The sequence below is a fragment of the Homo sapiens genome, chromosome 20 (assembly GCF_000001405.40).
Source record: "Homo sapiens chromosome 20, GRCh38.p14 Primary Assembly".
In the NCBI taxonomy this organism is placed as follows: domain Eukaryota; kingdom Metazoa; phylum Chordata; class Mammalia; order Primates; family Hominidae; genus Homo; species Homo sapiens.
In genome coordinates, this window is record NC_000020.11 from 1,107,960 (window position 1) to 1,133,572 (window position 25,613).

At 45.1% G+C, this 25,613-nt stretch overlaps 1 protein-coding gene and 1 long non-coding RNA gene across 7 annotated transcripts in view, besides 6 other annotated features; one reads left to right on the forward strand and one right to left on the reverse strand.

Annotated features, from left to right (window-relative positions):
- Window positions 707-756: an enhancer, noted in NCBI's record as "active region_17450". NCBI's record gives its function as "activates an Ori minimal core promoter by ATAC-STARR-seq in GM12878 lymphoblastoid cells {active_cell/tissue: GM12878}" and the evidence as "EXISTENCE:reporter gene assay evidence [ECO:0000049][PMID:35858748]".
- The window catches only part of PSMF1 (proteasome inhibitor subunit 1), a 58,984-nt gene continuing 38,674 nt past the window's right edge, over window positions 5,304-25,613 (forward strand). For 4 of the 6 annotated variants that reach the window (NM_001323409.2, NM_001323410.2, NM_006814.5 and 1 more), the window contains exons 1-3: window positions 10,643-10,943; window positions 17,539-17,691; window positions 19,467-19,549. In NM_001323409.2, the coding sequence (NP_001310338.1) occupies window positions 10,815-10,943; window positions 17,539-17,691; window positions 19,467-19,549 (365 nt within the window). In that variant the 5' untranslated portion in view covers window positions 10,643-10,814. Of the gene's footprint in view, window positions 5,451-10,642; window positions 10,944-17,538; window positions 17,692-19,466; window positions 19,550-25,613 lie in introns of those variants that run through there. The other 2 variants (NM_178578.4, NM_001323407.2) reach the window with 2 other exon arrangements.
- On the reverse strand, window positions 9,893-10,489 carry LOC105372493 (uncharacterized). The gene is made up of 2 exons (NR_136535.1): window positions 10,425-10,489; window positions 9,893-10,029 (listed from the first exon to the last, which is right to left on the reverse strand). It is a non-coding gene; the product is annotated as an uncharacterized LOC105372493 (long non-coding RNA).
- Window positions 10,394-11,036: an enhancer, noted in NCBI's record as "H3K27ac hESC enhancer chr20:1098996-1099638 (GRCh37/hg19 assembly coordinates)". NCBI's record gives its function as "activates a minimal SCP1, AML or CMV promoter by ChIP-STARR-seq in primed H9 embryonic stem cells {active_cell/tissue: H9 hESC(primed)}" and the evidence as "EXISTENCE:reporter gene assay evidence [ECO:0000049][PMID:30033119]".
- Window positions 10,436-10,485: an enhancer, noted in NCBI's record as "active region_17451". NCBI's record gives its function as "activates an Ori minimal core promoter by ATAC-STARR-seq in GM12878 lymphoblastoid cells {active_cell/tissue: GM12878}" and the evidence as "EXISTENCE:reporter gene assay evidence [ECO:0000049][PMID:35858748]".
- Window positions 10,496-10,545: an enhancer, noted in NCBI's record as "active region_17452". NCBI's record gives its function as "activates an Ori minimal core promoter by ATAC-STARR-seq in GM12878 lymphoblastoid cells {active_cell/tissue: GM12878}" and the evidence as "EXISTENCE:reporter gene assay evidence [ECO:0000049][PMID:35858748]".
- Window positions 10,556-10,745: an enhancer, noted in NCBI's record as "active region_17453". NCBI's record gives its function as "activates an Ori minimal core promoter by ATAC-STARR-seq in GM12878 lymphoblastoid cells {active_cell/tissue: GM12878}" and the evidence as "EXISTENCE:reporter gene assay evidence [ECO:0000049][PMID:35858748]".
- Window positions 10,786-10,915: an enhancer, noted in NCBI's record as "active region_17454". NCBI's record gives its function as "activates an Ori minimal core promoter by ATAC-STARR-seq in GM12878 lymphoblastoid cells {active_cell/tissue: GM12878}" and the evidence as "EXISTENCE:reporter gene assay evidence [ECO:0000049][PMID:35858748]".

The window sequence follows — 25,613 nt, forward strand, 5'->3', positions numbered from 1 at the left end:
AAGAGGCCGAGATGTAAACCCAGGTTCCCTGACTCCAAGGCCTAGACACTTTTCTACACTATGCACCTGCTAATGTATTTATTCACTCATCACATATTTATTGGGCACCTACTATGTATGCCAGGCTCTGTTCTAGGTGCCAGGACTATAGCAGTGAACCAAACAGACACAAATCCCTGTGCTCATGAAGCTGATGTTCTGGTTTGGGGAGCATCAGGCAGAGCTTCTAGCCTTTCAAGGTAATACTGGTCACCCCTCCCACCTGCCTGACCAAGGTGGGCAAGTGCCTGATGGAACTTTGGAGTTGGAGCTGGACATGGGTGGCATGGGGGCAAGGCAAGGATCAGGCCCAAGTCTGTGAAAGGATGGAGACAAAGAGAAGTAGGGGGTACAGGAAAGAGAGTGGCCTCAGAAACCGACCCTCTGTGCCTCCAAGGACTTGGGTTCTCTGGGGACCGTCTCTCCCTGAAGGCAACGATCCCCAGAGCTAAAATCAGGTATTTCCAGGTGTGAAGGCTGATTGCAGTGTGGACAGAGCCTGCTGGGGGGGCTCTGGTCTAGGGCTCCCCTGAACCTCCTGGTGGAATGAAGTCAGGATGGAGGAGAGTGTGCCTCTCCCTGCGTGGCTGCCATCTGTGGACATTTGGGTGGGCCAGGGTGCCCTCTTGTGGCCTCCCTTGTCTCTGCAGAGACTCTTCATGTGTCCCTGTGGTTGGAGGAGCTTCCCATGCCTAGATCGTTTCTCTGTTCCCAGCCTGGACCCTTGACCCTTTTTTCTATTCCCAGCCTTTTCTGCCCCTGAGGTCTGAAAAATGGTCCTCGTCATGACTCTTGGCTTTTCCTGTGTAGATCTTGAAACTCAGAGCTCAGAATCCCGCAAGCCCTTAGTGATGCTGTTGGAGGCATGGCACTGTGATGAGGAGGCAAGCAGGCTGACCGCCTGGCTCAAATCCTGACCCTGCTGCTTAGGACAATGGCACAACTTCTCCCTTATTTTTCTCATTTTTAAAGCGAAGATAATAATAGTTTCTACCTTAAAGTGTTGTTCTGGGAATTAAATGAGACAATATACATTGAGCAATTTGTCAAAGCCCCAGTACTACCCCCCGACCCCCACCACACACACACACTCACACTCACACCTTTTATGCCTTCCCTTAGTATTTCAGAGGCCTGAAACCTAACAAGTGCATTTTTCAGAATGACTTGCCAGCTGGGTTCCAAGTTAGATCCAGCCACTGGGAGGCAGAGGCAGGGGCACATTATTGCTTCTCCAACAGCAGTGGCAGAATCTTGAGTTTTAGGTTTCAGTTTGGCAGCAGCCTCTGCAGGTCCCCCCACCACCCTACATACACACAGACTGCCCCAGGATGGGAGGCAGCTGTGATCACTGCTGGTGGTTTTCTGAAGCTCCTGCAATGTCCAGACTTTCTGAAAGCTGGTGGCAGCTTTCCCCAATCTTTACATTCCAATCCATCCACTGGTTCAGTAAGCATCATATTTTTCCCATTAAATCCCCTTCTGCTGGATGTCAAGCAACCAGGGCTCTCATTCATTGTTGGCAGGTGTGGAAAATGGTATGACCATTTTGGGAACACATTTGGCAGTTTCCTATAAACATATACTCTACCATAAGATCCAGCAATTCTACACCTAGGAATTTATCCAAGACCAGTGAAATCATAAGGCCATACCAAGACCTGTCCATGTATGTCTACAGCAGCATTACTCATCACCATCCCAAGCTGGAAACAACCCAAATGCCCATCAATAAGGGACTGGACAAACTGGCACATCCATACAACACAATATTACTCAATAAAAAGGAAGGTACTGATACACACAACATGGATGAAGTTTGGACATGATGATGAGTGAAAAAAGGCATGAAGGGGTATTATTTTATGTGTCAACTATGGAGGGGTGCCAAACCTTCAAGAAAATAATTGCCACACAGCTGTGAGGAGTGCAGTTTGCTAACGTCCTCCGGCCATAGGACCACTGGGATCATGCTGAAGCCATGCTCTTTACGGGCAGCCCACCGAGCAGAGACAGCACTAAGGCCTGGCCATTTCAATCCAACAGGGAACTCTCTATGATATTTCTTGGTGCTGGAGTTCTCCGTTGGGCTGGCTGAGACTTTCTCACTAATCCTTATTCCTTCCTTCTCTTCTTTTGTAGGAGCCAGATCAGCAGAAAGGCCTGAAGGTTCTCCCCACATACTCCTGTTCCCACTCCCCTTTTCCTTTTGTGACTTATCCCCAATAAACCTCTAACACTGCTAACTCCATCTTGACATCTGCTTCCTGGGGCATTGTATACATTTCATTTATATGAACTTTTAAGAGAGGCAAAATTAGATACCAAAAATATAGATGCAAAAAACACAGATCAGTGGTTGCCTGGTGATATGATTTGGATGTTTTGTCCCCTCCAAATCTCCTGCTGAAATGTGACCTCCAATGCTAGAAGCGGGCATAGGGGGAGGTGTTTGGGTCATGGGGGTAGATTCCTCATGAATGGCTTGGTGTCCTCCCCATGGTAATGAGTGAGTTCTCACTCTATTAGTTCATGTGAGAGCTGGTTATTTAAAGGATCCTGGCACCTCTTCCTTGCTCCCTCCCCTTCTCTTTCTCCATATGACATGCATGCTTCCCCTTTGCCTTCCACCATGATTGAAAGCTTCCTAGGCCTCACCAGAAGCCAAGCAGATACTGGTGTCATGCTAGACAGCCTGCAGTGCCTTTCTTTAGAAATTACCCAGTCCCAGGTATTCCTTTATAGCAATGCAAAATGGACTAACACACCTCAGCTAGAGGCTGGAGAGATTAACTGCCAAGGCACATGAGGAAATTTTTTGGAGTCATGTAAACATGCTATATCTTGGTCATGGTGGTTACGCTGGTCTATACATTAGGCAAAACTCATGAAGTATACAACTAAAACGGGTGATTTTATTGTATGTAAATTATCTCAATAGAGATGAATTTTTAAAAATCCTTTCTTTCTGGAAATACCTAGAGAATACGGTGGTTATAAGACTGTGTGCATTTGTCAAAACTCAGAGTTATACACTAAAAAGGGGGAGTTGTACAATCTATAAATTATGTTTTTGGCCAGGCATGGTGGCTTACGCCTGTAATCCCAACACTTTGGGAGGCCAAGGCAGGTGAATCACTTGAGGCCAGGAGTTCGAGACCAGCCTGGCCAACATGGTGAAACCCCATCTCTACTAAAAATACAAAAATTAGCTGGGCCTGGTGGTGCGTGCCTGTAATCCCAGTTACTTGGGAGGCTGAGGCAGGAGAATCTCTTGAACCCAGGAGGCGGAGGTTGCAGTGAGCCGAGATCGTGCTACTGTACTCCAGCCTGGGTGATAGAGCAACACTCTGTCTCAAAAAAAAATCATATATATTTTTTCATTGAAGAATGAATCAGGGAAATAATAATTTTTACTGATTATCATGTGGTTATTGCTGAAAATAATTTCATAGATGAGGAGGGAGGTGTTAAAAAGTGATCTGCTTCATTGACATCCTCATACTTCCTGATTTCAAAACTTACTACAAAGCTACATAATCAAAACATTATGGTACTGGCATAAAGACAGACATATAGACCAATGGAACAGAATAGAGAGCCCAGAAATGAACCTTCACATGTATGGCCAAATGATTTTCAACAAAGACACCAAGACCATTCAATAGGGAAAGAACAGCCTTTTCAACCAATGATGCTGGGGAAACTGGATATTCATATAAAAAGAATGAAGCTGGACCTCTCCTTCACACCACACATAAAAATGAACTCAAGATGGATCAAAGACCTGAATGTAAGACGTAAAAATATAAAACTCTTGGAAGAAAATGTAGGGCAAATTCTTCACAACACTGGATTTGGCAGTGATTTCTTGGATGTGACATCAAAGGCACAGGCAACAAAAGGAAAATCAGGCAAATTGAACTTTATGAAAATTAAAAGCTTTTGTGCATCAATAGACACTATCAACAGAGTAAAAGGCAATTCACAAAAAGGCAGAAAATATTTACAAATCGTATATCTGATAAGGGAATAATATCCAAAATATACAGAGAACACCTAAAATTGAACAACAAAAACCCAACAACTCAGTTAAAAAATGGGTAAAGGACTTGAACAAACATTCTCCTAAGTCATACAAAAGGCCAATAAGTACATCAAAAGTTGCTCAGCATCCCTAATCATTAGGGAAATGCAAACCAAAATTATAATAAGATACCACTGGCTGGGCATGGTAGCTCACGGCTGTAATCCCAGCACTTGGGAGGCTGAGACGGGTGGATTGCTTGAGCTCAGGAGTTTAAGACCAGCCTTGGCAACATGGCGAAACCCCATCTCTATTTAAAAAATAAAAGATACCACCTCATACTCATTAGAATGGCTAAATGGCTACTATGAAAACAAAACAAAACAAACATAAAATAACAAGTGTTGCTGAGAAGGTGGACAAATTGGAACGCTTGTGCACTGTTGGTGGGAATGTAAAATGGTGCAGCCTCCGTGGAAAACAGTGTGGTTAATATCACTAAACTGTAGACCTAAAGTGATTACGATGATCAATTTTATGCTATGTGTATTTTACCACAATAAAAAACTTCAAAAAACTAACAGAGTTACAAAAAATATATATTTTATTTTATTTTTTTTTGAGACGGAGTCTCGCTCTGTCGCCCAGGCTAGAGTGCAGCTGCATGATCTCGGCTCACTGCAAGCTCTGTCTCCTGGGTTCACACCATTCTCCTGCCTCAGCTGCCCGAGTAGCTGGGACTACAGGTGCCTGCCACCACGGCTGGCTAATTTTTTTGTATTTTTAGTAGAGACAGGGTTTCACCGTGTTAGCTAGGATGGTCTCGATCTCCTGACCTTGTGATCCGCCCGCCTCCCAAGGTGCTGGGATTACAGGCATGAGCCACTATGCCCAGCCTAAAAATTATCATTTTTTTAAAAAAAAGAGATATCTGCTATGGGTGTCAAATATGCTAGGTACCCCACGGACAAGGGGAATGGGAAGTTGGGAAGTCTTGGATATCAGCTACTTGGTAGAAACAAAGAACAATATTAATCATAGAGGGCTTCCTGGAGGAGGTGATACGGTTGGGCTGATGCTAGGCCAAAGAAGAATTACAGTAGTGAACGATTTCGCCTCAGTGCCCATCTAGGCGCTGCCCCTTGGTTCAGTTCTTCATGGTTTCCAGGGAGGCAGGGAGCTTGGAATACCCACATTGCTGTCACTTGGCAACCAGGAACTGGTGGCTGCAGCCACCAGCCAAGTTCTTTCCATCATCCTGGGCCCTCACCTCTGGCATAGGCTCTTGGTAGTGGGGGCCCAGACAGGGAGGCACCTGCCACCTGCTTCCCTTCTCAGCCACCCACAGCCCTCATAGGGCAGAATGGGACTCTTGCTGATGTAGGTAAGTCCACAGAAAGTGCTGGATGGATCAGGGGCAACACACACACACACACACACACACACACACACACACACACACACACACCAGCCCCAGGAGTTCCTCCCATTTGTTCCCATCCCTGGAGGACCCTGGGGTTCAGGACAGGTGGAACATAGTCCTGGCCTTCAGGGGATTCACAGCCTAGTGCAAGAGATAGAGCTCACCTCATTCTTTCAATACACTGATGCCAGTGCCTATTCCATGCTGGCTGCTGGGTTACATACTTTCTTCTTCTTCTTTTTTTTTGTTTTTTGGTTTTTTTGAGACGGCGTCTCGCTCTGTCGCCCAGGTTGGAGTGCAGTGGCGCGATCTCAGCTTACTGCAAGCTCTGCCTCTCGGGTTCACGCCATTCTCCTGCCTCAGCCTCCGAGTAGCTGGAACTACAGGTGCCCGCCACCACGCCCGGCTAATTTTTTGTATTTTTAGTAGAGACGGGGTTTCACTGTGTTAGCCAGGATGGTCTCGATGTCCTGACCTCGTGATCCGCCCGCCTCAGCCTCCCAAAGTGCTGGGATTACAGGCGTGAGCCACCGCGCCCGGCCTGGGTTACGGACTTTCTAAGGCATGGCTTACCCCCGGTCAGGGGTGTGGGAGGACAGAGCAGATCGCACTACAACACCCTCATCACCCTTCAGCAGTCACCTCTAGACGCAAAGACTGCTTTCTCTAAATTATGCAACTCTGTGCCTGAGGGCCTTCCAGGACCCCAGAAGCAGCTCTCAGCCTGTGGCAGATGCCCTCAAATGCAATAGCTCTGAGACATGCCCCACACTGCCTCCCAGAGTTCCCGGGTAGGAGTGCGGTCCAGTTGCCCGTAGAGGTAACTGGCTTCATCACACTCCCTCTGCTGGCTCCCTTTCCTTCCTGTCTCACTTCCCTACTCCACTGCCCCCACCGCTATTTCCTGGAATCAGCTCCCAAATAAACCACTCAAATCCCTGTCTCACCACGGGCTTCTGAGAGAATACATGTTAAGACAGGGATGATGGTGTAGAAGAGGGAACCAGTGTTCTGTAAGATGCCAGCTACAACCAACTGTATGCAAAGCAGTGTTGAACCAAGGGGTGGGGGTGACGGAGCTGTCTGCCCTGTAAGATGCCAGCTACAACCAACTGTATGCAAACCAGTGTTGAACCAAGGGGTGGGGGTGACGGAGCTGTCTGCCCTGTAAGATGCCAGCTACAACCAACTGTATGCAAACCAGTGTTGAACCAAGGGGTGGGGGTGACGGAGCTGTCTGCCCTGTAAGATGCCAGCTACAACCAACTGTATGCAAACCAGTGTCAAGGGGTGGGGGTGACGGACCTGTCTGCCCTGTAAGATGCCAGCTACAACCAACTGTATGCAAAGCAGTGTTGAACCAAGGGGTGGGGGTGACGGAGCTGTCTGCCCTGTAAGATGCCAGCTACAACCAACTGTATGCAAACCAGTGTTGAACCAAGGGGTGGGGGTGACGGAGCTGTCTGCCCTGTAAGATGCCAGCTACAACCAACTGTATGCAAACCAGTGTTGAACCAAGGGGTGGGGGTGACGGAGCTGTCTGCCCTGTAAGATGCCAGCTACAACCAACTGTATGCAAACCAGTGTTGAACCAAGGGGTGGGGGTGATGGAGCTGTCTGCCCTGTAAGATGCCAGCTACAACCAACTGTATGCAAACCAGTGTTGAACCAAGGGGTGGGGGTGACGGAGCTGTCTGCCCTGTAAGATGCCAGCTACAACCAACTGTATGCAAAGCAGTGTTGAACCACGGGGTGGGGGTGACGGAGCTGTCTGCCCTGTAAGATGCCAGCTACAACCAACTGTATGCAAACCAGTGTTGAACCAAGGGGTGGGGGTGACGGAGCTGTCTGCCCTGTAAGATGCCAGCTACAACCAACTGTATGCAAACCAGTGTTGAACCAAGGGGTGGGGGTGACGGAGCTGTCTGCCCTGGTGCAGACAAGGAGTAGGTACATTTGCTGTAGAAAACGTAAAGGCAGTAACAAAACAGACCAAAGGCCAGTCCACTTTTTACTGTCATCATGTACCAGCAATTTGAATCAACTTCATTGATAAAATTCTCCACCTGACTAAGGCTGATAGCTCTCACTGTCCCATGCCCACCCCTTGAAAGCCCACTGATGCCAAGCACACTGAGGAAAGTGCAATTAATCATGGGCAAAGAGACGAGGGAAACCTCACTCAGGAGGCAACATTGACCTTGTAATCCCACAGAGCTAGCTGCATTCCACCATGCCTTTGCACATACTGTTTCCTTTTACTGGAACACCTTTTGATCCTTAATCCACTTTTTTTTTTTTTTTGAGACAGTCTCTCTTTATCACCCAGGCTAGAGTGCAGTGGCTTGATCTCGGCTCACTGCAACCTCTACCTCCCGGGTTCAAGCGATTCTCCTGCCTCAGCCTCCCGAATAGCTGGGATTACAGGTGCCTGCCACCACGCCCGGCTAATTTTTGTATTTTTAGTAGAGACAGGGTTTCACCATGTTGGCCAGGCTGGTCTTGAACTCCTGACCTCGTGATCCACCTGCCTCAGCCTCCCAAAGTGCTGGGATTACAGGTGTGAGCCACCATGCCTGGCCAGTACTTTTTTTTTTTTTTAAACACTAGACAGTGAGCTCTATAGGGACAGGAACCTGTTCATCTGTGTCTGGCCCACAGTAGGCACTTAGGAATGGGCTGCCACTAAGTAGGCACCTTAAGTGGACACCCTGCACTATGGTTCATGGCAGCCCAGCCTATGAAAGTTTATTGATGGAATGAATCTGTAGAAATTTTCCATAATTGGATAAGGGCATTACAAACAGAAGGGACAGAGCAAGCAAAAGCAGGGAAGACTGAAAGTGCAGAACTTCTCAGTAGAAAGGGCAAATAGCTTTATGCCACAGGCAGTACATCTCAGAGAGGAGTTCCACAGCCACTAGCTTTAGTGTCATCCAGAATGTAGTCAACATACATGCACTCTTCCTCAGACCTTCTCATCCAGAATCTCTGCAGAAGGGGTTCAAGAATCTGGTTGTCTCAAGGAAACTTTAGGAACACAAAATTTGGAGAGGCACAGGGCCAGCTGACAAAGGGAGTGATGGACTATAAAGAGGTAAGAGTGCCCTGACTGGGTTGGGGCTAGGCCAAGAATTCATTCCTTCATTCAGTATTCATTCTGTCTTTCAATAAGTATAGATTGATCCCAGAAGGCACTCAGGTACATATGTGCACAAGGTAGACATGCTCCCTGTTCCTTTGTCACAGTCTAGTGGAAAGACAGTCATTAAATAAGCAAAGAAATAAACACCTAACATAGTTTCAGGTTATGATTAATGCTTTGCAGGAAAAAAAAAAAGCCAGAGAGGGATTAAAGACGGGAGAAGGTTATTTTGGATGGAATGGTCTGGGAAGCCCTCTGTTGAGGATGGTAGGAGTGAGGGATGAAGCCACTTGAAATGAAGAAGCAAGACATGCAGATATCTGGGAAAAGAGCATTCCAGGAAGAGGAACGCAAAGGCCCAAACAGAACACATGAAACAGGGAAACTGGCTGGGAAGCTACTGCAATAGTCTAAGTGTGAGATGCTGGAGGATCAGACCAGAGTGGAAGCAGTGAAGGTGATGGGAAGTGGTCAGATTCATAATATATTTTGAGAGTGGAGTCAACTAGCTTTGCTGTTGGACCAGATGTAGATGTGAGAGAAGAGGGGGAGCCAAGGTTATTGCACGTATAAAGGGGATGAGAGGACAGTTGAAGGAGACTGAATCAGAGAGGTACAGGGCTGGCAGGGCTGGGGCAGGAGATGGCAGACCACATGCAGATTCCTGCAGACCATGGGGAGGACTTTACTTTTCCATTGAGTGTGACGATTTTGAGCCAACGGATGTGATCTGACTTTTCTTTTTTTTTTTTTTTCTTTTTTGAGACAGAAGATCGCTCTGTTGCCCAGGCTGAAGTGCAATGGTGCGATCTTGGCTCACTGCAACCTCCACCTCCACCTCCCGGGTTCGATTGATTCTCATGCCTCAGCCTCCCGAGTACCTGGGACTAAAGGCGTGCGCCACCACACCCAGCTAATTTTTGTATTTTTAGTAGAGACAGGGTTTCACCATGTTGGCCAGGCTGGTCTCAAACTCCTGACCTCAAGTGATCCGCCTGCCTCGGCCTCACAAAGTGCTGGGATTACAGGCATGAGCCGCCACACCTGGCCGATCTGACTTGTTTTCTAACAGAATCTCTCTGGTTGCGGAGTGCAGTACAGACTAGAGAGAGACAGGAATGGAATGGGGCAGTTCTGAGGCTGATGCCAGGCATCCAAGTGAAAGATGACAGGAGCTTGAACCAGGTTAGTGACTGGGATGGGGAAACTAAATTTATTTGGGTAAAAACAATAAGTGGATTTCATGAAACTTGTTGAAGTAACGGGTGGTAAAAATCATAAAGGGGGTAGGCAAATAAATGATTGAAATTTGATAGTGGGTCAGGAGCTTCAGCTCTGCGGGCAGCAGTTGTGTCTCCTTGGAGAAGTGGTTTCAACTCTGAGCCGTTTTGTCATCTGCAAAATGGGGATAATAACGGTCCATACTTCATAGAGTTGTTGAGAGGGTGATGTAAAGGTTTTAGCGCACGATGTAGCACACAATAAACACTTAATAAATGTTATCTTAGAAGCCAGACTGCCAGGTTCCCATAACCATTTCAGCCGTTCACCGGCTGGCTGTTGTCATCTTGGTCAAATTATCCCTCTGCGCCTCAGTTTCCTCATCTGTGCAATGAGGCACATTAATCGTTAATATCAACTGCATAGAGTTGGGTTGTGAAGATTAAATAAATGAATACAAGTAAAGCGTTTAGAATAATGTGGACGGTAGCAAGCACGGCGAACGTGTTAACGATTATTAAGAATGTATTTTAGCCACATTTCCCAGCCCCTTCCCCGGCCTAGCATACCCCATTTTGTGGATGGGAAGTCTGCCTCTCAGCAAGGTGGCCTCTTGGAGGACGCTGTGCCCGCGTCAGGCGATCCTGTCGACTGCCGCCAAGACCCGGCTTCCGGCTTTGAGGGGCCACGCCCCGCTCGCACTCCCTGGCGGAACCTTTCAGTGCTGCGCTCGCGTTGCCAACCCGGCGCGCCTCACGCAGTTGCGCCCGCTGTTGGGACTACTTCCGGCTTCCCCGCCCCGCCCCGTCCCCGGGCGTCTCCATTTTGGTCTCAGGTGTGGACTCGGCAAGAACCAGCGCAAGAGGGAAGCAGAGTTATAGCTACCCCGGCCGCGGAGCCGGCTCACTGCACTACCCCCGCCCCCTTCTTTCCTCCAGACGCCGAAGTCGCGGGCGCTCATGGCGGGCCTGGAGGTACTGTTCGCATCGGCAGCGCCGGCCATCACCTGCAGGCAGGACGCGCTCGTCTGCTTCTTGCATTGGGAAGTGGTGACACACGGTTACTTCGGCTTGGGTGTCGGTGACCAGGTACGCCACGGAGCCGGCCAGGGTGGAGGAGGGAACTGTCTTCTGCCCAAACTCAGAGTACCGGAGGCCTGGTCCAGAGCGCCCGATTTCCCCGCTTCTCCCAGTGCAGGGTCTGGGGCAGATGGCAGCGTTGGTAAAACCTGCGGGTCGGAGGTTGCTCACCTGCCCCATCCCAGCCCAGAGTCCCTCACGGCACAGCTGGCACAACATGATTTGTAAACTCAAGGGCGGACACTCGCTTCAACACAGCCTGGCAGCCTCTCAGGCCAGGACTGTGTGGATCTAGCATTCCATAGAATGGCAAAGAATCTAGACAGGAGTTTAGCTCCCCAGAGCACTTCTCACCCACCTGATCCCGTCTGAACTCCTTACCACCCAGCCTCGGGGTGAGGGGACTGACTCAGTTCCGCCCTCATACCACAGTAGAGCCTCCACCAAACATCTGGATCCAAGCACAGGTACAGGAGTGAGCTTTGACCTACTCAGCCCCAGGCCAGGGCCCTTTTTTCACCCGTTAGCATGGGCCCAGAGAGTTCACACGCCTTTCACCCTTTACTGAAGGGCCCAGCATAGTCCACTCGCTACTGCCATCCCCAACTCAAGCTCTAGGAAGCAATCACCCCCAGAGTCGTACACACATACACCCTGGGTGTGAGGGTCATATAAGATTTTCTCCTCATAGTTGTCCCCATAGGGCCAGCCCCTCTTCTCCCATCCCCAGGCTCCACCTCTTACAGCTAGGGACGTCGTTGTCATCCCCACAGAGTTCTAGGACTGCTGGACCCAACCCACCTCACTAATTCTTTGCTCTGGCATTCTTCTTTCTTTCCTGTCTCTTCCCTGTGACCCTCATCCCCAACATCCACATCATCCTAGACATCTGCTTCCTGGGAGAAGTGGGCCTGCCTCCATGCCTGCCCCTCACTGTCACTGTTCTCTCACTCTCAGAACCAAGACTAGCCATGGGAAACAGACCACCCCACCTATTGCATCTTGCCATGAGATTTCACCCTTCCTCTCCTTTTTGACTGCTTCAGTTCTCAACTCCTCTAATCATTTTTTTTAGCTTCTCAAATAGAGTCTTAATTCTCCCCTCCTGACATAGCTTTAGGGACCTCTCTTCAAACTTGCTTTGTACATTCTGAGCACTTAGACAAGTATCCCCTTTCCCCCACCCCTCACTGCTGTCCCTATTCCTCTCTGTCTCTTAGAACTAAAGACCAAGACCACCATACCCCTCTCACACTTTACCCCCTCCAGCAGGAATCAGAACACAAGAACCGTCAGGGATTTCTGGCTCTTTTTTTCCCCAGACCTCAATTATCTCACTGGGACCCCAGGTACACACTCAGGATCCCCATTCCCACCTCCAAACTCACACATACTTCATCTCTCAAATGGGCTCTAAGACTAGATATGAGGATGGAAAAGAACAGCTAGCCTTTCACACACACATACCTGGAAGCAGGAATCATTTCACCTTCCCAAACACATCTGTCCCTGACCTTTCTCTTTGTGCTGCTCTTCATTCCACATACCTTCCAAATGTCTTCCAGCATTTCAGACCTTGGGACCAGGTAGAGACAGCACCCCCATTTCAGCGTCAGGCCCCTCTTTCAATGCATAGTTCCCCTAACAGAAATCTTGTCTCCCCACTTGTCTTACTCCAGCTTTTTAATCTTAAGCAGCTCTTCACTTGCCCCAGTCATTTTATTTCAACTTTTCCTAGATTCTTCAAAGAAACTGGTATGTGGGATGGTGCAGGGGACAGTGGGGCTGAGAAGAGGAGTAAGATTTGATTTTGACCTGGGATCTCCTCCATTGGCCCTCAGCTCCCCCTGCCCTTTGTCTTGTCCTTCAGATGGAACAGCTCTGCTTTGCACTCTGTCCCTCCTCATGTACCTCACTCCCCTTACCTACTCCTAGCTAGCTACTTAGACTCTGCCACACTGTCAGAACCCCATCCACCTCTGCTGAGGAACTTGTTCTAGAGGGCGTGTCTGATACCCTTCTCTCCTTGCCATTCCACAAATAAATATCAATCACTGTGGATCTGCTCCTACATTTCTTACCCTCACTCATGCTGTCTGAATCACTTTGACAGTTTAGGGACATGAGTTCACATAAGTCGATACCTTCTAGCTGGCATTACCACCTTGCCATACACTCAAGGCTCCAAAATTTTCAGATGAAATGTACAGAAAGAATACAATCTCATTTTAATAGTTTTTTTTTTTTTTAAAAAGGTCCTTGACCAATTCCCCAAGGTCCATCTAATTTTTCTCTGTTCATGGTGCTATTCGTTGAGCTTCTGCAGGCCAGAAAAAGATGCTGGTTTCAGACATCTTTGGGGAGGCCCAGGAGCCTGGGGAATTAGGTTTTTGTAAGGCATTGCCACCTTTCCTCTATCTACCCCAGCACTAAATCTTGCATGCCCCCGAAGGAATGAGTGTTTGGATTGCAAACTAGAGTGTGGTGTATTTTTGCTTCTCTCTGCCTTTTCTCCTTGATTGCCATTGGGGCTCAGGTTGCACTTGTCCTTCTGTCGCTTCTGCTGAGTCTACTTTCATTCAGAGTGGAAACTGGAGAGGCATCTTTCCTATTAGTTTATTTAAGAAGAGGTTTAATTTTTCAGCCTGGGGCCAGCCAACTCAGCTGACTCAATTGTGTTTTCCAAGCTCAGAGGATATTTGTGTTGCCTCTCCAGCCATCTGCTGTTTCCACCCTTCTGGGGGTGATAAGAAGGAGAGGAAGGTCCCAAGAGTGTATGCTTGACTATACAAGTTGACAGTTAAATGGAAAGCTAGATTGTCTGCTTTCTCTTAGGTTTTGCTTCCTCTGTTACAGGGGAATTGTGTACATAAAACTTGATTAGAAAACCAGTGCAGCCACTGGCTTCAACAAAAATCCAATACTTGAATTTGGATTTCTTTCTTGAAGTCAGAACCACTCCTCACAAGAACTTTACAGCTTTGTCAAGTGGTTTGGGTGCCAAGGGGATAGGTAAGGGATGACTTAGGTGGTTATCGACATAAGTTAGAGAATTTTGTTTTCTGTTGTGGGAAATCTAAGGATTATGATGAAAGAGAGAAAATGCCCAAAATGATCTGTTTAAGTTTCTTTGGGTGAATTTTAGTTCAGAGGCATTGGGGCAAATTCATGGCCATTAAAGAATGCTTCCAGTGCCAGGATTTTGCCTAAGAAGACAATTATCTTTATTCTCTTAGGGCCAGTCTTGTGGACCTGGCTGGGAAAAACCTTCTCTAGCCATAGCCTGGGCAATCAGGAGCTCTGAATTCCAAGCACAGCCCTACACCTGACTTGCTGAGACCTTGGGCAGCTCTCTGACCATCTCAGGCCTTAGAGTTTTCTTTTCTTTTTCTTTTTCTTTTCTTTTTTTTTTTTTTTTTTTTAATCCGAGATGTCTCACTCTGTCACTCAGGCTAGAGTGCAGTGGTGCTATCTTGGCTCACTGTAACCTCTGCCTCCTGGGTTCAGGCAATTCTGCCCCAGCATCCTCAGTAGCTGGGATTACAGGTCCCCGCCACCATGCCTGGCTAATTTTTTTTGTATTTTTAGTAGAGACAGGGTTTCACCATGTTTGCCAGGCTGGTCTCGAACTCCTGAATGCAAGTGATCTGCCTGCCTCTGCCTCCCAAAGGGCTGGGATTACAGGCAAGAGCCACCGCGCTCAGCCTCAGGCCTTTGATTTTTCATCAGAGGAAGTTAAACCACGTGACTGTGTACTTAGGCTACTTTCCAACTGTGGCTTTCTGGGACTCTTGATATTTGATGTCAGGGTTTACAGGGCAGTTGCAGACCATGTTTGGCCTGATATCGCCAGGGTCTGTCCTCTGTTTACTGGGGAACATCAATTGCACTGCAGTTAGAGATATCAGTTTCACCTGACTTCAGGGATTTTCTGTAACTCTGGAAGCCAAAGGTGATGGGGTGGTGAGCAGACCAAATTGTTTATATTCCAAGAGAGAACTCTGGTGGATTGAATGCTGTACATGGAGGATATAATATAAATTTAAAGGCGTTTGCCAGAGCAAAGATGAGGATGTCATCAAATTCCTGGCTTCCAAAGTAAACAAATCCACGACACTAAACACTAAACATATTCGGGAAATTTACCCAGTTTGGGGTGAGGGGATAGTTTCTTTTTCGCAGAAGAATGGTTTGATTAGTTTTACTTTTGTTTTTCCTCACTCTCATTTCTATGCTTCAGGCCTATGAATTTCATTGTCATCCAGCCAGGTTTTAAACCATGACAGTTGCGACATCCTGAATTTTATTTGGGATCTCTTTCCCCAGAGGATTTCTGAGCACCAGGGGTGACGAAACAGGAGAGGCCAGCAATTCTCAATGTGTGGTCTCCCCTTGTCCTTGGTGTGTGAAGTTTTGCTTTGCTGGACCTTTGTCTTTTCCATTTTCTTCATCTCCGGTCCCACTCCCTCCCGCTGTATTCTCATGACTACAGATCTTCCCAGTCCACCTGCCCCATGGTGAGCAATATAAATATACATCCATGAAAAAAGATTATAGCATTTTTTTGTGCTTTTTAAAATTTTTACATAAGTGGTACTGGAGTGTAAACCTCATTTTTTGGGGAACTTTTCTTTAAATCATATTTTTTCTTTTATATATAATACTATCATTAGATCTGGTTTATTCCTTCTGACTGCTATATAGTATTCCACTATAAGCATATTTTGCATTTTATCTCCACTTTTGCTACCTTAGCCAAGGCTATAATGAAGATCCTTTGTTATGTACCCTGTGCACAGGGTTTCTTCTGGGAGTAGGGATTTTGGATCATAGGATATTGGCTCATCTAATTGCACTAAAAACTGTCAGATTGCTCCCCGAAGGGGCTGTGCAAGTTTAAATGCCCACCAGCAGGGACTGGAGGTTCCCATTCTCCCCACACCTACACAGACATCTGGCAAAAAATAGAAAACTGGGTAATAACAGTCCGAATCATGTAACTTAGTGTCTCATTATTTCAGTTCTGCTTCTCTGATTGCTAGTAAAATTGAATAACTCTTTAGACACTATTAGCCGCTCTTTTTCTTGTTCATATCTTTTGCCACTTTTTGGAGTTCCCAATTGTTATTGTTCATTTTCCAGGCATTCCCTTTATGTAGAGGTTATTAATTTCTTTCCTTTGCAGCCATGGCAAATGTCTCTTCCTAGCCTGTGGCTCCTTATTAATTTAGTAGTGTCTCTGTAGAACAGAAGCTTTCAATTATGAACAGTGTCAAAGGCAGCATTTTCTTTTATGGATCTTGTTTAAGAAATCTTCCCCACCTAGAAATCACTATATTATTTTTCCTGTAGAAATAATTTGAGAACTATTTCTCAAACTTTAGTATGGAAAGTCTTAGGATTTTTAAAAAAGAAAAGAGGAAGACATCACAACTCACAATAAAAGATGTATTTTACACCCACCAGGCTGACAAGCATGAAAATGGCAAGCATTTTACCCCTACTAGATTGGCAAGCAATAATAGCAATGTTGCCAACTACACGGAGCAACAGGAGCTTTCATACATTGCTAGTGGGAGTATAAATCAGTAACTCTTTAGAAAACAACTTGACTTTATCTTATAAATTAAAAGCTTTTCCTCCATGCATACTGTATAGAAATTTATCCACGTGTACCAGATGTGTACAAGAATGTTCATAGCAGCATTGTTTATAATAGCAAAACAAATAAGCTGGAAATACTCCAAATCACCATCAACAAGTAGATGTATAAATTGCAGCATAGTCATACAGAATGCTGTGTAGCTGTGAATGTGAATCAGCTGTAGTTAAATGCATTGACATGGATACATTTCCAAAAACTATCAAATAAAAAAGGCAAATGACGGAAGTGATGCTGTGTATTTAAAATTCAAAAACATTTGAAGCTATATTTTTATGGTTGCATGTATAGTAATATAACTCTAAGGAAAAGTAAAGAAATTGTTTAAGAGTGGTGATTACCCTTGAAGGGGAAGGAGGGACATTTATTGGAGTATGCTACCCAAGGCTTTAGCAGTATTGCTGATGTTCTATTTCTTAAGCTGGTGGTAGAGACATTTTATAATTCTTTGTTATTTGTACATGTGCTACATTTTGTGTATTATGAAATTATAATTTTTGTACATCACTGCAGTCAGTTAGCGTGTATTCGGATCTGTGTTTTTAGTCAACACCTTGGTAATCCTATTGAAGTTAGCCTAACGTCCAAACTTTGAAAAACACTACTTAGAACTTCGCAGTGTTCCTCAAGATGACTGGCTTTATTCTTAGCAGTGGGATGGGGAAGAGATAATTATTAAACCAACACTGCAGATTCTTGACAGGTTCCAGTGCTGTGTCAGAAAGGTAGCTCAATATGAGGGAGAGCGCAGTAGAACAGAAGCCCAGAGACCTGGGCCCTAGACCTCTCTCTCGCTGTAGGATCTTGGGCAAGTCATTTCTCTTGACCTCCACATCTTCATCTGTGAAGTGAGGTGGGTAAGATTAGCTTATCTCGTGAGGTTCTTTATAGTTCTGTGTTTTGAGTTCATGATCTTTCTCCTCTCAACTGTGGTCTTCCCAGCCGGGTCCCAATGATAAGAAGTCAGAACTGCTGCCAGCTGGGTGGAACAACAATAAAGACCTGTATGTCCTCCGGTATGAGTATAAGGATGGGTCCAGAAAGCTCCTTGTGAAAGCCATCACCGTGGAGAGCAGCATGATCCTCAATGTGCTGGTGAGTCTCTGGGACACGTGAGTCTGCTGATGAGATGGGGATAGGAATGGCTGTTTTGAAACCCATTTAACGGTACGAATCCAGAGCTTCAATGTTCATGTAGCCCTTACCTAGTGATCCCACTTCTGGAACTTTATCTTAAGGTGAGAACCCTAAGTATAGAAAACCTTCGTGCACAAAGGTATCCACCACCTGGAATTAAGAAGGAGGGGCTTTCTGTCAACAGGGGAATGGTTAAATAAGGTAAATCTATTCAGTGACAAGATAGAAGGGAAAAACTTAGGTAACCCCAATGGGCTACTTCAGTTCCTTAAATAAATTGAATTCTTTGCTGCCTTGGAGCCCTTGCACTTTACATTTCCTATGCTGGAAGGCTCTTCCCCTCCCCCATCTGCCACTCACACAGCCCTTCACCATTCCTTCATCCTGGACAATTCTCTTTCATTTTTGACTTCCTCAAAAATTTCAGTTCTGACTACCCAGTCCTACTCCCCAAAAAAATCTAAATTATGTCTCTTTACGCCATCATTTTATTTTCCTGCCTGACACTCATTGCAGCTTGTAATTGTGTACTTATTTGTGCTTTGCTTTTATTCTGCCATGGGACTATAAGTGCCACAAGGACAGTGACTTTCCTTTTGTTAACTTTTTTCTTAGTGGTTTGGGTGTGACCATGTAGAAGTATCCTGCTGTATGTATTATACTGCACTTTGCTTTTTTTTCACTCGGTGTTTTGGAGGCAAGACCTTGACATGGAAATACATATAGATATACCTTATTTGTTTTAACTATTATATAGTTTCTCATAGCACCATAATTTCTTTATTCCTTTCCCTTTTGATGAACATTTAGATCTCGTGTCAGATAGGGTTCTTGGTTTCAAACAACAAAAACCTCTTGGGTTAGTTTAAGCAAAAAGGGTTTATTAAAAGAACCAGGATCACCCAGGCGCAGTGGCTCGCACCTGTAATCCCAGCACTTTGGGAGGCTAAGGCAGGTGGATCACTTGAGGTCAGGAGTTTGAGACCAGCCTGGTCAATATGGTGAAACCCTGTCTCTACTAAAAATATTTTTAAACCTTAGCCGGGCGTGGTCGTGGGTGCCTGTAATCCCAGCTACTTGGGAGGCTGAGGCAGGAGCATCCCTTGAACCCAAGAGGCAGAGTTTGCTGTGAGCTGAGATCGTGCCACTGAACTCCAGCCTGGGCAATAGAGCAAGCCTCTGTCTCAAAACAAAACAAAACAAAAAGAACCAGGATAGCTCATTGAAACAGGTTTAAGGCTAGGTTTCCAGAAGCAGTGTCCCAAATCATGCCCCGGAAACCACTGCTGCCACCACCACTGCCCAGTATTAGATACTGGCTGATTCTGTCTGCCCTGGTGCACCCTTCTCTTAAGCTGCTGATGTGACCCCCTGGCCTCTGTGCTACCCTCATTAGCAAGATGTCTGCCCCTTGCTGGGTCTGCATCTCCGTGTTGCTCACCTGCAGATCAAAGTTGATGCATCAGTTCAACACCTCAATTACCATGCCTGAGCCCTTTTGCAAAAGAGCCTGGGAAGTAGGTGTTTTAGTCTCTGCCTTGGAAAGGCAATATTCCTAAATCAGAGAAGTCTCCAAGCCTTAGGAAGGTATTTCATATAAACAGTCCTTATATATGTCTCTGTGGACATATGTGAATATTTCTTTAGGTTGAAGACTTTGTTACTCTCCCTTCACCCTCCCACTCTTAGCCAGAAATATCCCAGTCTCTCACTTTCTATTTTCACCCATCTAGGAATATGGCTCACAGCAAGTGGCAGACTTGACCCTGAACTTGGATGATTATATCGATGCAGAACACCTGGGTGACTTCCACAGGTACTTCTAAATGATGTCTCTTCCCTGGGAAAAAGAAGAGAGAACTAATGGCAAGATATGAGGAATAGGGTGGATGTGTCCAGAAAATTAAGGAAGGTGAATGGAAGAACCTTTTATTTCTGGGCACAACTTCCTAATTTTCTTTTCTGTTTTTTATGTATTTGAAGAGGAGACTTCCATAGGAAATGCCACATGAAACAAGATGGTGCAGTCAAGAGTCCACAAGTGCAGTGGTGGCTGCAGAGTAGAGGTGGAGCCCGGGCAACTCATTCAGTCAGAGCAGACTCCTGGGAGGATGTGTGCCTCATTGGGTCCCCAACCCCAATCTCCAACTTATTTAAAAAAAAATTATTTTCTTTAGGGTCGTTTTAGGTACAAGCAAAATTGAGCAGAAAGTGCAGAGCATTCCCATATTACCTCCTGCTCCCATACACCCACAGTTTACAGCTTCCCTGTGTCAATATCCCATACATAATGATTCATTTGTTACAACTAATGAGTCTACATTGACACATCATTATTAGGGCTCAAGCTTGCTGTTGTGCAGTCTGTGGGTTTTGACAAACAGATGAGAATGTGTGTCTATCATAGTATCACACAGAATAGTTTGACTACCCTAAAAATCTGTGCTTCTCCTATTCTTCACTCCCTTTTCCCTAACTGCTGGCAACCACTGATCTTTTGACTGTCTCCATAGTTTTGCCTTTTCTAGAGTGTCACATAGTTGGTATCATACAGTAGTATGATTCTAGACCTTTTCAGCAGATAGAGCTAGGAAAATTTTTCCTTATAAGTTTAAATTGCCACCTCTGTTTTTAATATAACACTACAGGATTCTTTTTCTCTTATTCCATACTTATATCTCCCTTCTCCTGTGGTGAGAACCCTGATTCCCAGCAGCATCAATGTATTTACTTATTTATTTGATCCTAGAATACACACAAATATTTTCTGAATTGCTACATCAGTGCCTACCAAGAACAAACCTATTAAGTAAAGTTCCAAATGACTTATTTCCAGTTCTTTTTGTCTTTTAACTATGTTCCACAAAAGATGTAGGCAGAGTAGTGTGTTCCAAAGGTACTTAGATTAGTGCTTGTTTTTAAAATCAGTATAATGAAATTATCTGTTTTATATATAGTTAAGCTGATTTATGTCTGCTTTATTCCATTATAGGGATTTTCCCCCCATCTTCATTGACCTCCTCAGGGTTTTATTTTTTATTTTATTTTATTTTTTTGAGGTGGAGTCTAGTTCTGTCACCCAGGCTGGAGTACAGTGTGACTGTTCAAGCAATTCTTCTGCCTCAGCTTCCCGAGTAACTGGGATTACAGGTGTGCACCACCACACCCAGCTAATTTTTGCGTTTTTTTGTTTTGTTTTTTGAGACGGAGTCTTGCTCTGTCACCCAGGCTGGAGTGCAGTGGCGCGATCTCGGCTCACTGCAAGCTCTACCTCCCGGGTTCACGCCATTCTCCTGCCTCAGCCTCCCGAGTAGCTGGGACTACAGGTGCCCACCACCACGCCTGGCAATTTTTTTTTTTTGTATTTTAGTAGAGATGGGGTTTCACCATGTTAGCCAGGATGGTCTCGATCTCCTGACCTCGTGATCCACCTGCCTTGGCCTCCCAAAGTGCTGGGATTACAGGCGTGAGCCACTGCACCCAGCCAATTTTTGCGTTTTTAATAGAGACAGGGTTTTGCTGTTGGCCAGGCTGGTGTCGAACTCCTGACCTCAAGTGATGGGATTACAGGTGTGAGCTACCGCACCTAGCCACCCTCAGAGTTTTAGAGTGAGCTTGGCATCACTATAAATGCACAGTTATCAAACCTTAACCGAACCTCAGAACTGCCCAGAAACCCTGTTGCATTTAATAGTATCTAATCAGCAATACCCTCTTTGAACCTATTCCAGTCCTCACAGACTTTCAAACCACTGGCCTCCACATTCTGGCCACTCCTCATTTCTCCTCCCCTCTTCCATGCAGCTTCTGTGTGAGGAGGTCTTTTACATATTCCCCTCCTGCATGCCACCCTCCAGTGTATTTCCCACGCAGCAGTTGGACCAGTCTTTCAGACATAGATCAGATCATAGTTAACAACTCTGGCTTAAAACCCTTCAGTGATGCTGCTTCACACCCATTACGATGGGTAGTATCAGAATAACCAGAAAATAAACAAGCGTTGTCAAGGATGTGGAGAAATTGGAACTCTTGTGCACTCTTGGGAATGTAAAATGGTGCAGCCACTATGGAAAACAATATGACAGTTCTTCAAAAAATTACCGTATAATCCTGCATGTCCACTTCCGGGCATATACCCAAAAGAATTGAAAGTAGGTCTTGAAAAGATATTTGTACACCCATGTTCGTAGAAGCATTATTCACAGTAGCCAAAAGGTGAAAGCAGCTTGGCTGTCCATTGATAAGATGAATGGATGAACAAAATTTGGTATGTAAATACAGTAGAATATTATTCGGCTTTAAAAAGGAAGGAAATTCTGGCCCGTGCTACAACATGGATGAACCTTGAAGACATTATACTAAATTAAATAAGCCATTCACAAAAGGACAAATTCTGTGTGATTCTATTAAAAGTACCTAGATTAGTCAAATTTGTAGAGACAGACAGTGGATGGTGGTTGCCAGATACTGGGGCAAGAGGGGAATAGGAAGGGGAGTTAGTGATTAATGGGTACAGAGTTTGTTTTGCAAAATGAAAAGAGATCTGGAGATGGATGGTAGGTGATTGCACAACAGTGTTAATGTACTTAACAGTACTGAACACTTAAAAATGGTTAAGATGGTAAATTTTATGCATATTTTACCACAGTTAAAAGTCTTTAGGGAATACTCATTGCTGTTAGGATAAAGAGCACAATCCTTGATGAGGCCTTAAAGCATTCACCCCTTCAATCTCACCTTGTACTGCCTTCCCCGCATCCCTGTGCTTCAGCCACAGTGTCATTCTTCTGCCCTCTTCAGACCTCTTCCCTCTGTCTAAAGTGCTCTCCCTGACCTCACGTAGCCAACTCCTGTTTATCTTTTGGTTACCGATTTAAACGTCAGTTCCTTAGAGAAGCTTCCTCTGGCCCCCAGGCTTACAGCTTCAAAACATTTTAGTAAAATGTTTTTTTTGGAGTCAGGTTTCCCTCTGTTGCCCAGGCAGGCTGGAGTACAGTGGCACAATCAGCTCACTTATAAACAGGCCAAGCAGCCTCAACCTACTGGGCTCAAGTGACCCTCCCACCTGAGCCTCCCAAATAATTGGGTCTACAGGCATGTGCCACCATGCCCAGCCAGTTTTTTATTTTTTGTAGAGATGAGGTCTTTGCTGTGTTGCCCTGGATCAAAACATCATTTTTTAAGCATTTAATCCATCAGATATTTTACATTTACCTTCTTAGGGTTGGTCTTCCCTCCTTGCCTGTGATCTCCTTGAGGGCAGGGTTTGGGTGTCTTCTGCATGCAATAGACAAAGGGAGGGAAGGGGAAGTGAGCCAGGCCTGGCCGGCAGAATGCTGCGCCTCTGAGGAAAGGGGGAAGTGAGCCAGGCCTGGCCGGCAGAATGCCGCGCCTCTGGGTGTTGCACACTCCCTGACACCCTGGCCCCTCTTAGTGGGTAAGGGAGGGACATTTGGAGTGTGGTCTCTTGACTTCTTCACTCTGGACTTCCACTGGGAGAGAAATTGACAAAACCTGTGGAAGAACCTAGGAATTATACTGGCCATTCATGCTCATTAGAGCATTCCGTCTGTTCAGCAATACTGAAAGAGAATTGTGATCCTGTCTCTATTTGTTTTTTAAGTACATTTGTTTGAGGGGTTTGTGTGTGAGGGAGGGGATATGTGTTGTGTTTTGTTTTGTTTTTTGATTACTGTGAAATGAGGGACACAATAGTACTACCTCAGGGTTTTTCTGAGAATGGAATGAGATGTCAGCACATAGAGTGCTTAGCGCTTAGTCCAGCTCTTAGTAAAATACACAAAGGGGAAAAAAATGTGATCACCAGGAGTCATCTCCGTGGAAATGGGCGGTGAAAGCTGAGGTATGGCTCTGCCTCCTGATCAGAGGCCCTGTCTCCCTCCTATGCCTTTCAGCCATAGCTTCCTCCATGTAGCCCTCTTTATTAGGTCATTGTGGCATGTCTTGCCTCTTCCAGCAATTTGTGCTCCTCAGTGAGCAAACTGTGATTTGCTAAGAAATATAAACCTATTGTGTTCCATTCTGCTGTACCCTTTCTGTGTCGGATGAGATGGTAGGCTGTCTTTTGCCACAACCAAAATGGCAGTTGTTCTTTCAAGGCTTAGAAATTGTGTGAGAACTTCTCCTTCAGGACCTGGTGGTTTTTTAATCAGGCCTGAATTTTACACATGCCTAGGGAGATCAGAGGCCTCCCTCTGATCTGATTAAAAGGAAAGAAGACTTGAATTTACCCTCCCACCCAGCTTGGGCAGGCAAGCAGCTCATTTTTTACCCATGGATGTCCAATGGCCCCAACATCATTTGTTATTCCTTCATTGAATTACTTTTGAAACTTTGTCAAAAATCAGTTGTCTGTACATCTGTGGATCTATCTCTGGATCCCTTGTTCTTTTCCATTGATCTCTATGTCTCTTCCTCTGTCAATATTACTCTATCAGTATTGATTATTGTAGGCCTTAATATTGAGTAGAATAATTCCTCCCACTTTTTCTTCGTCAAGGTAGTTGTAGCTATTCTAGGTTCTGTGCCTTTTCTTTTTTTTCTTTTTTCTTTCTTTTTTTTTTTCTTTGTTTGAGACAGAGTCTCACTGTGTCTCAAAAAGGCTCAGGCTGGAGTGCAGTGGTGTGATCTTGGCTCACTTCAACCTCTGCCTCCGGGGTTCAAGTGATTCTCCTGCCTCAACCTTCTGAGTAGCTGGGACTACAGATGCGTGCCACCATGCCTGGCTAATTTTTTGTATTTTTAGTAGAGACGGGGTTTTACCATGTTAGCCAGGATGGTCTCGATCTCCTGACCTCGTGACCCACCCATCTTAGCCTCCCAAAGTGCTGGGATTACAGACGTGAGCCACCGCACCTGGCCTCTGTGCCTTTTCATATAAACTTTAGAGTAAGCTTGTGTATATCTATGAAAAACCTTGCTAGGATTTTGATAGGAGTTGCATTAAACCTATAGATTAGTTTGGGGAGAATTGACATTCTTGCTATGAACATGATATATCTTATCTCTCCATTTATTAATATTTAGGTTTTATTTGATTTCCATCAGTATCATTTGTAATTTTCAACATATAGATCCTGTACATAGCTTGTTATTTGTTTAAAGCAGAAAGGGAGATGATTATGAATGGCATATTCTGTCCTTTGTTTTGGTTTTCAAATGTTCATTGTTAGTGTGTAGAAATGTAGTTGATTTTCCTGTGTTGAACTCTTCTATCCTGTCACCTTGCTGAATTCAAGGTGTTTAGGGTTTTTTTGTTTTTTTTTTTTTTTGGTAGATTCCTTGGGAATTTCAGGGTAGACTATCATGTCATTTGCAAATAGGGACAGTTTTATTCCTTACTTGCTAATATGAATGCCTTTTGTTTTTCTTGCCTTATTGCAGTGGTCAGGATGTCCAATATTATGTTAAATAAGAGTGATGAGAAAGAATATGCTTTCCTCGTTCCCAATCTTAGGAGCAAAGCATTCAGTCTTTCACAGTAAAGTATATTGTTAGGGGTAGGTTTTTTGTAAATGTTCTTTATCAGGTTAAAGAAGTTCCCCTTTATTCTTAGTTTGTTGAGAGTTTTTAATCTTGAATGGATTTATCATGTTGGATTTTGTCAAAAGCTTTTTTCTGTATCAATTGATATGATCATATGATTTTTCTTCCATAGCTTATTGATATGGTAGATTACGTTGATTGATTTGTGACTATTAACCAGTCTTGCATGCCTAGAACAAATCATACTTGGTCATGGCATATAGTTCTTTTTATACATTTTTAAATTCAATTTGCTCATATTTTGTTGAGGATTTTTTTTGTGTGTAAGTTCATAGGATATACTAGTCTATATATGTGTATATATATATATATTT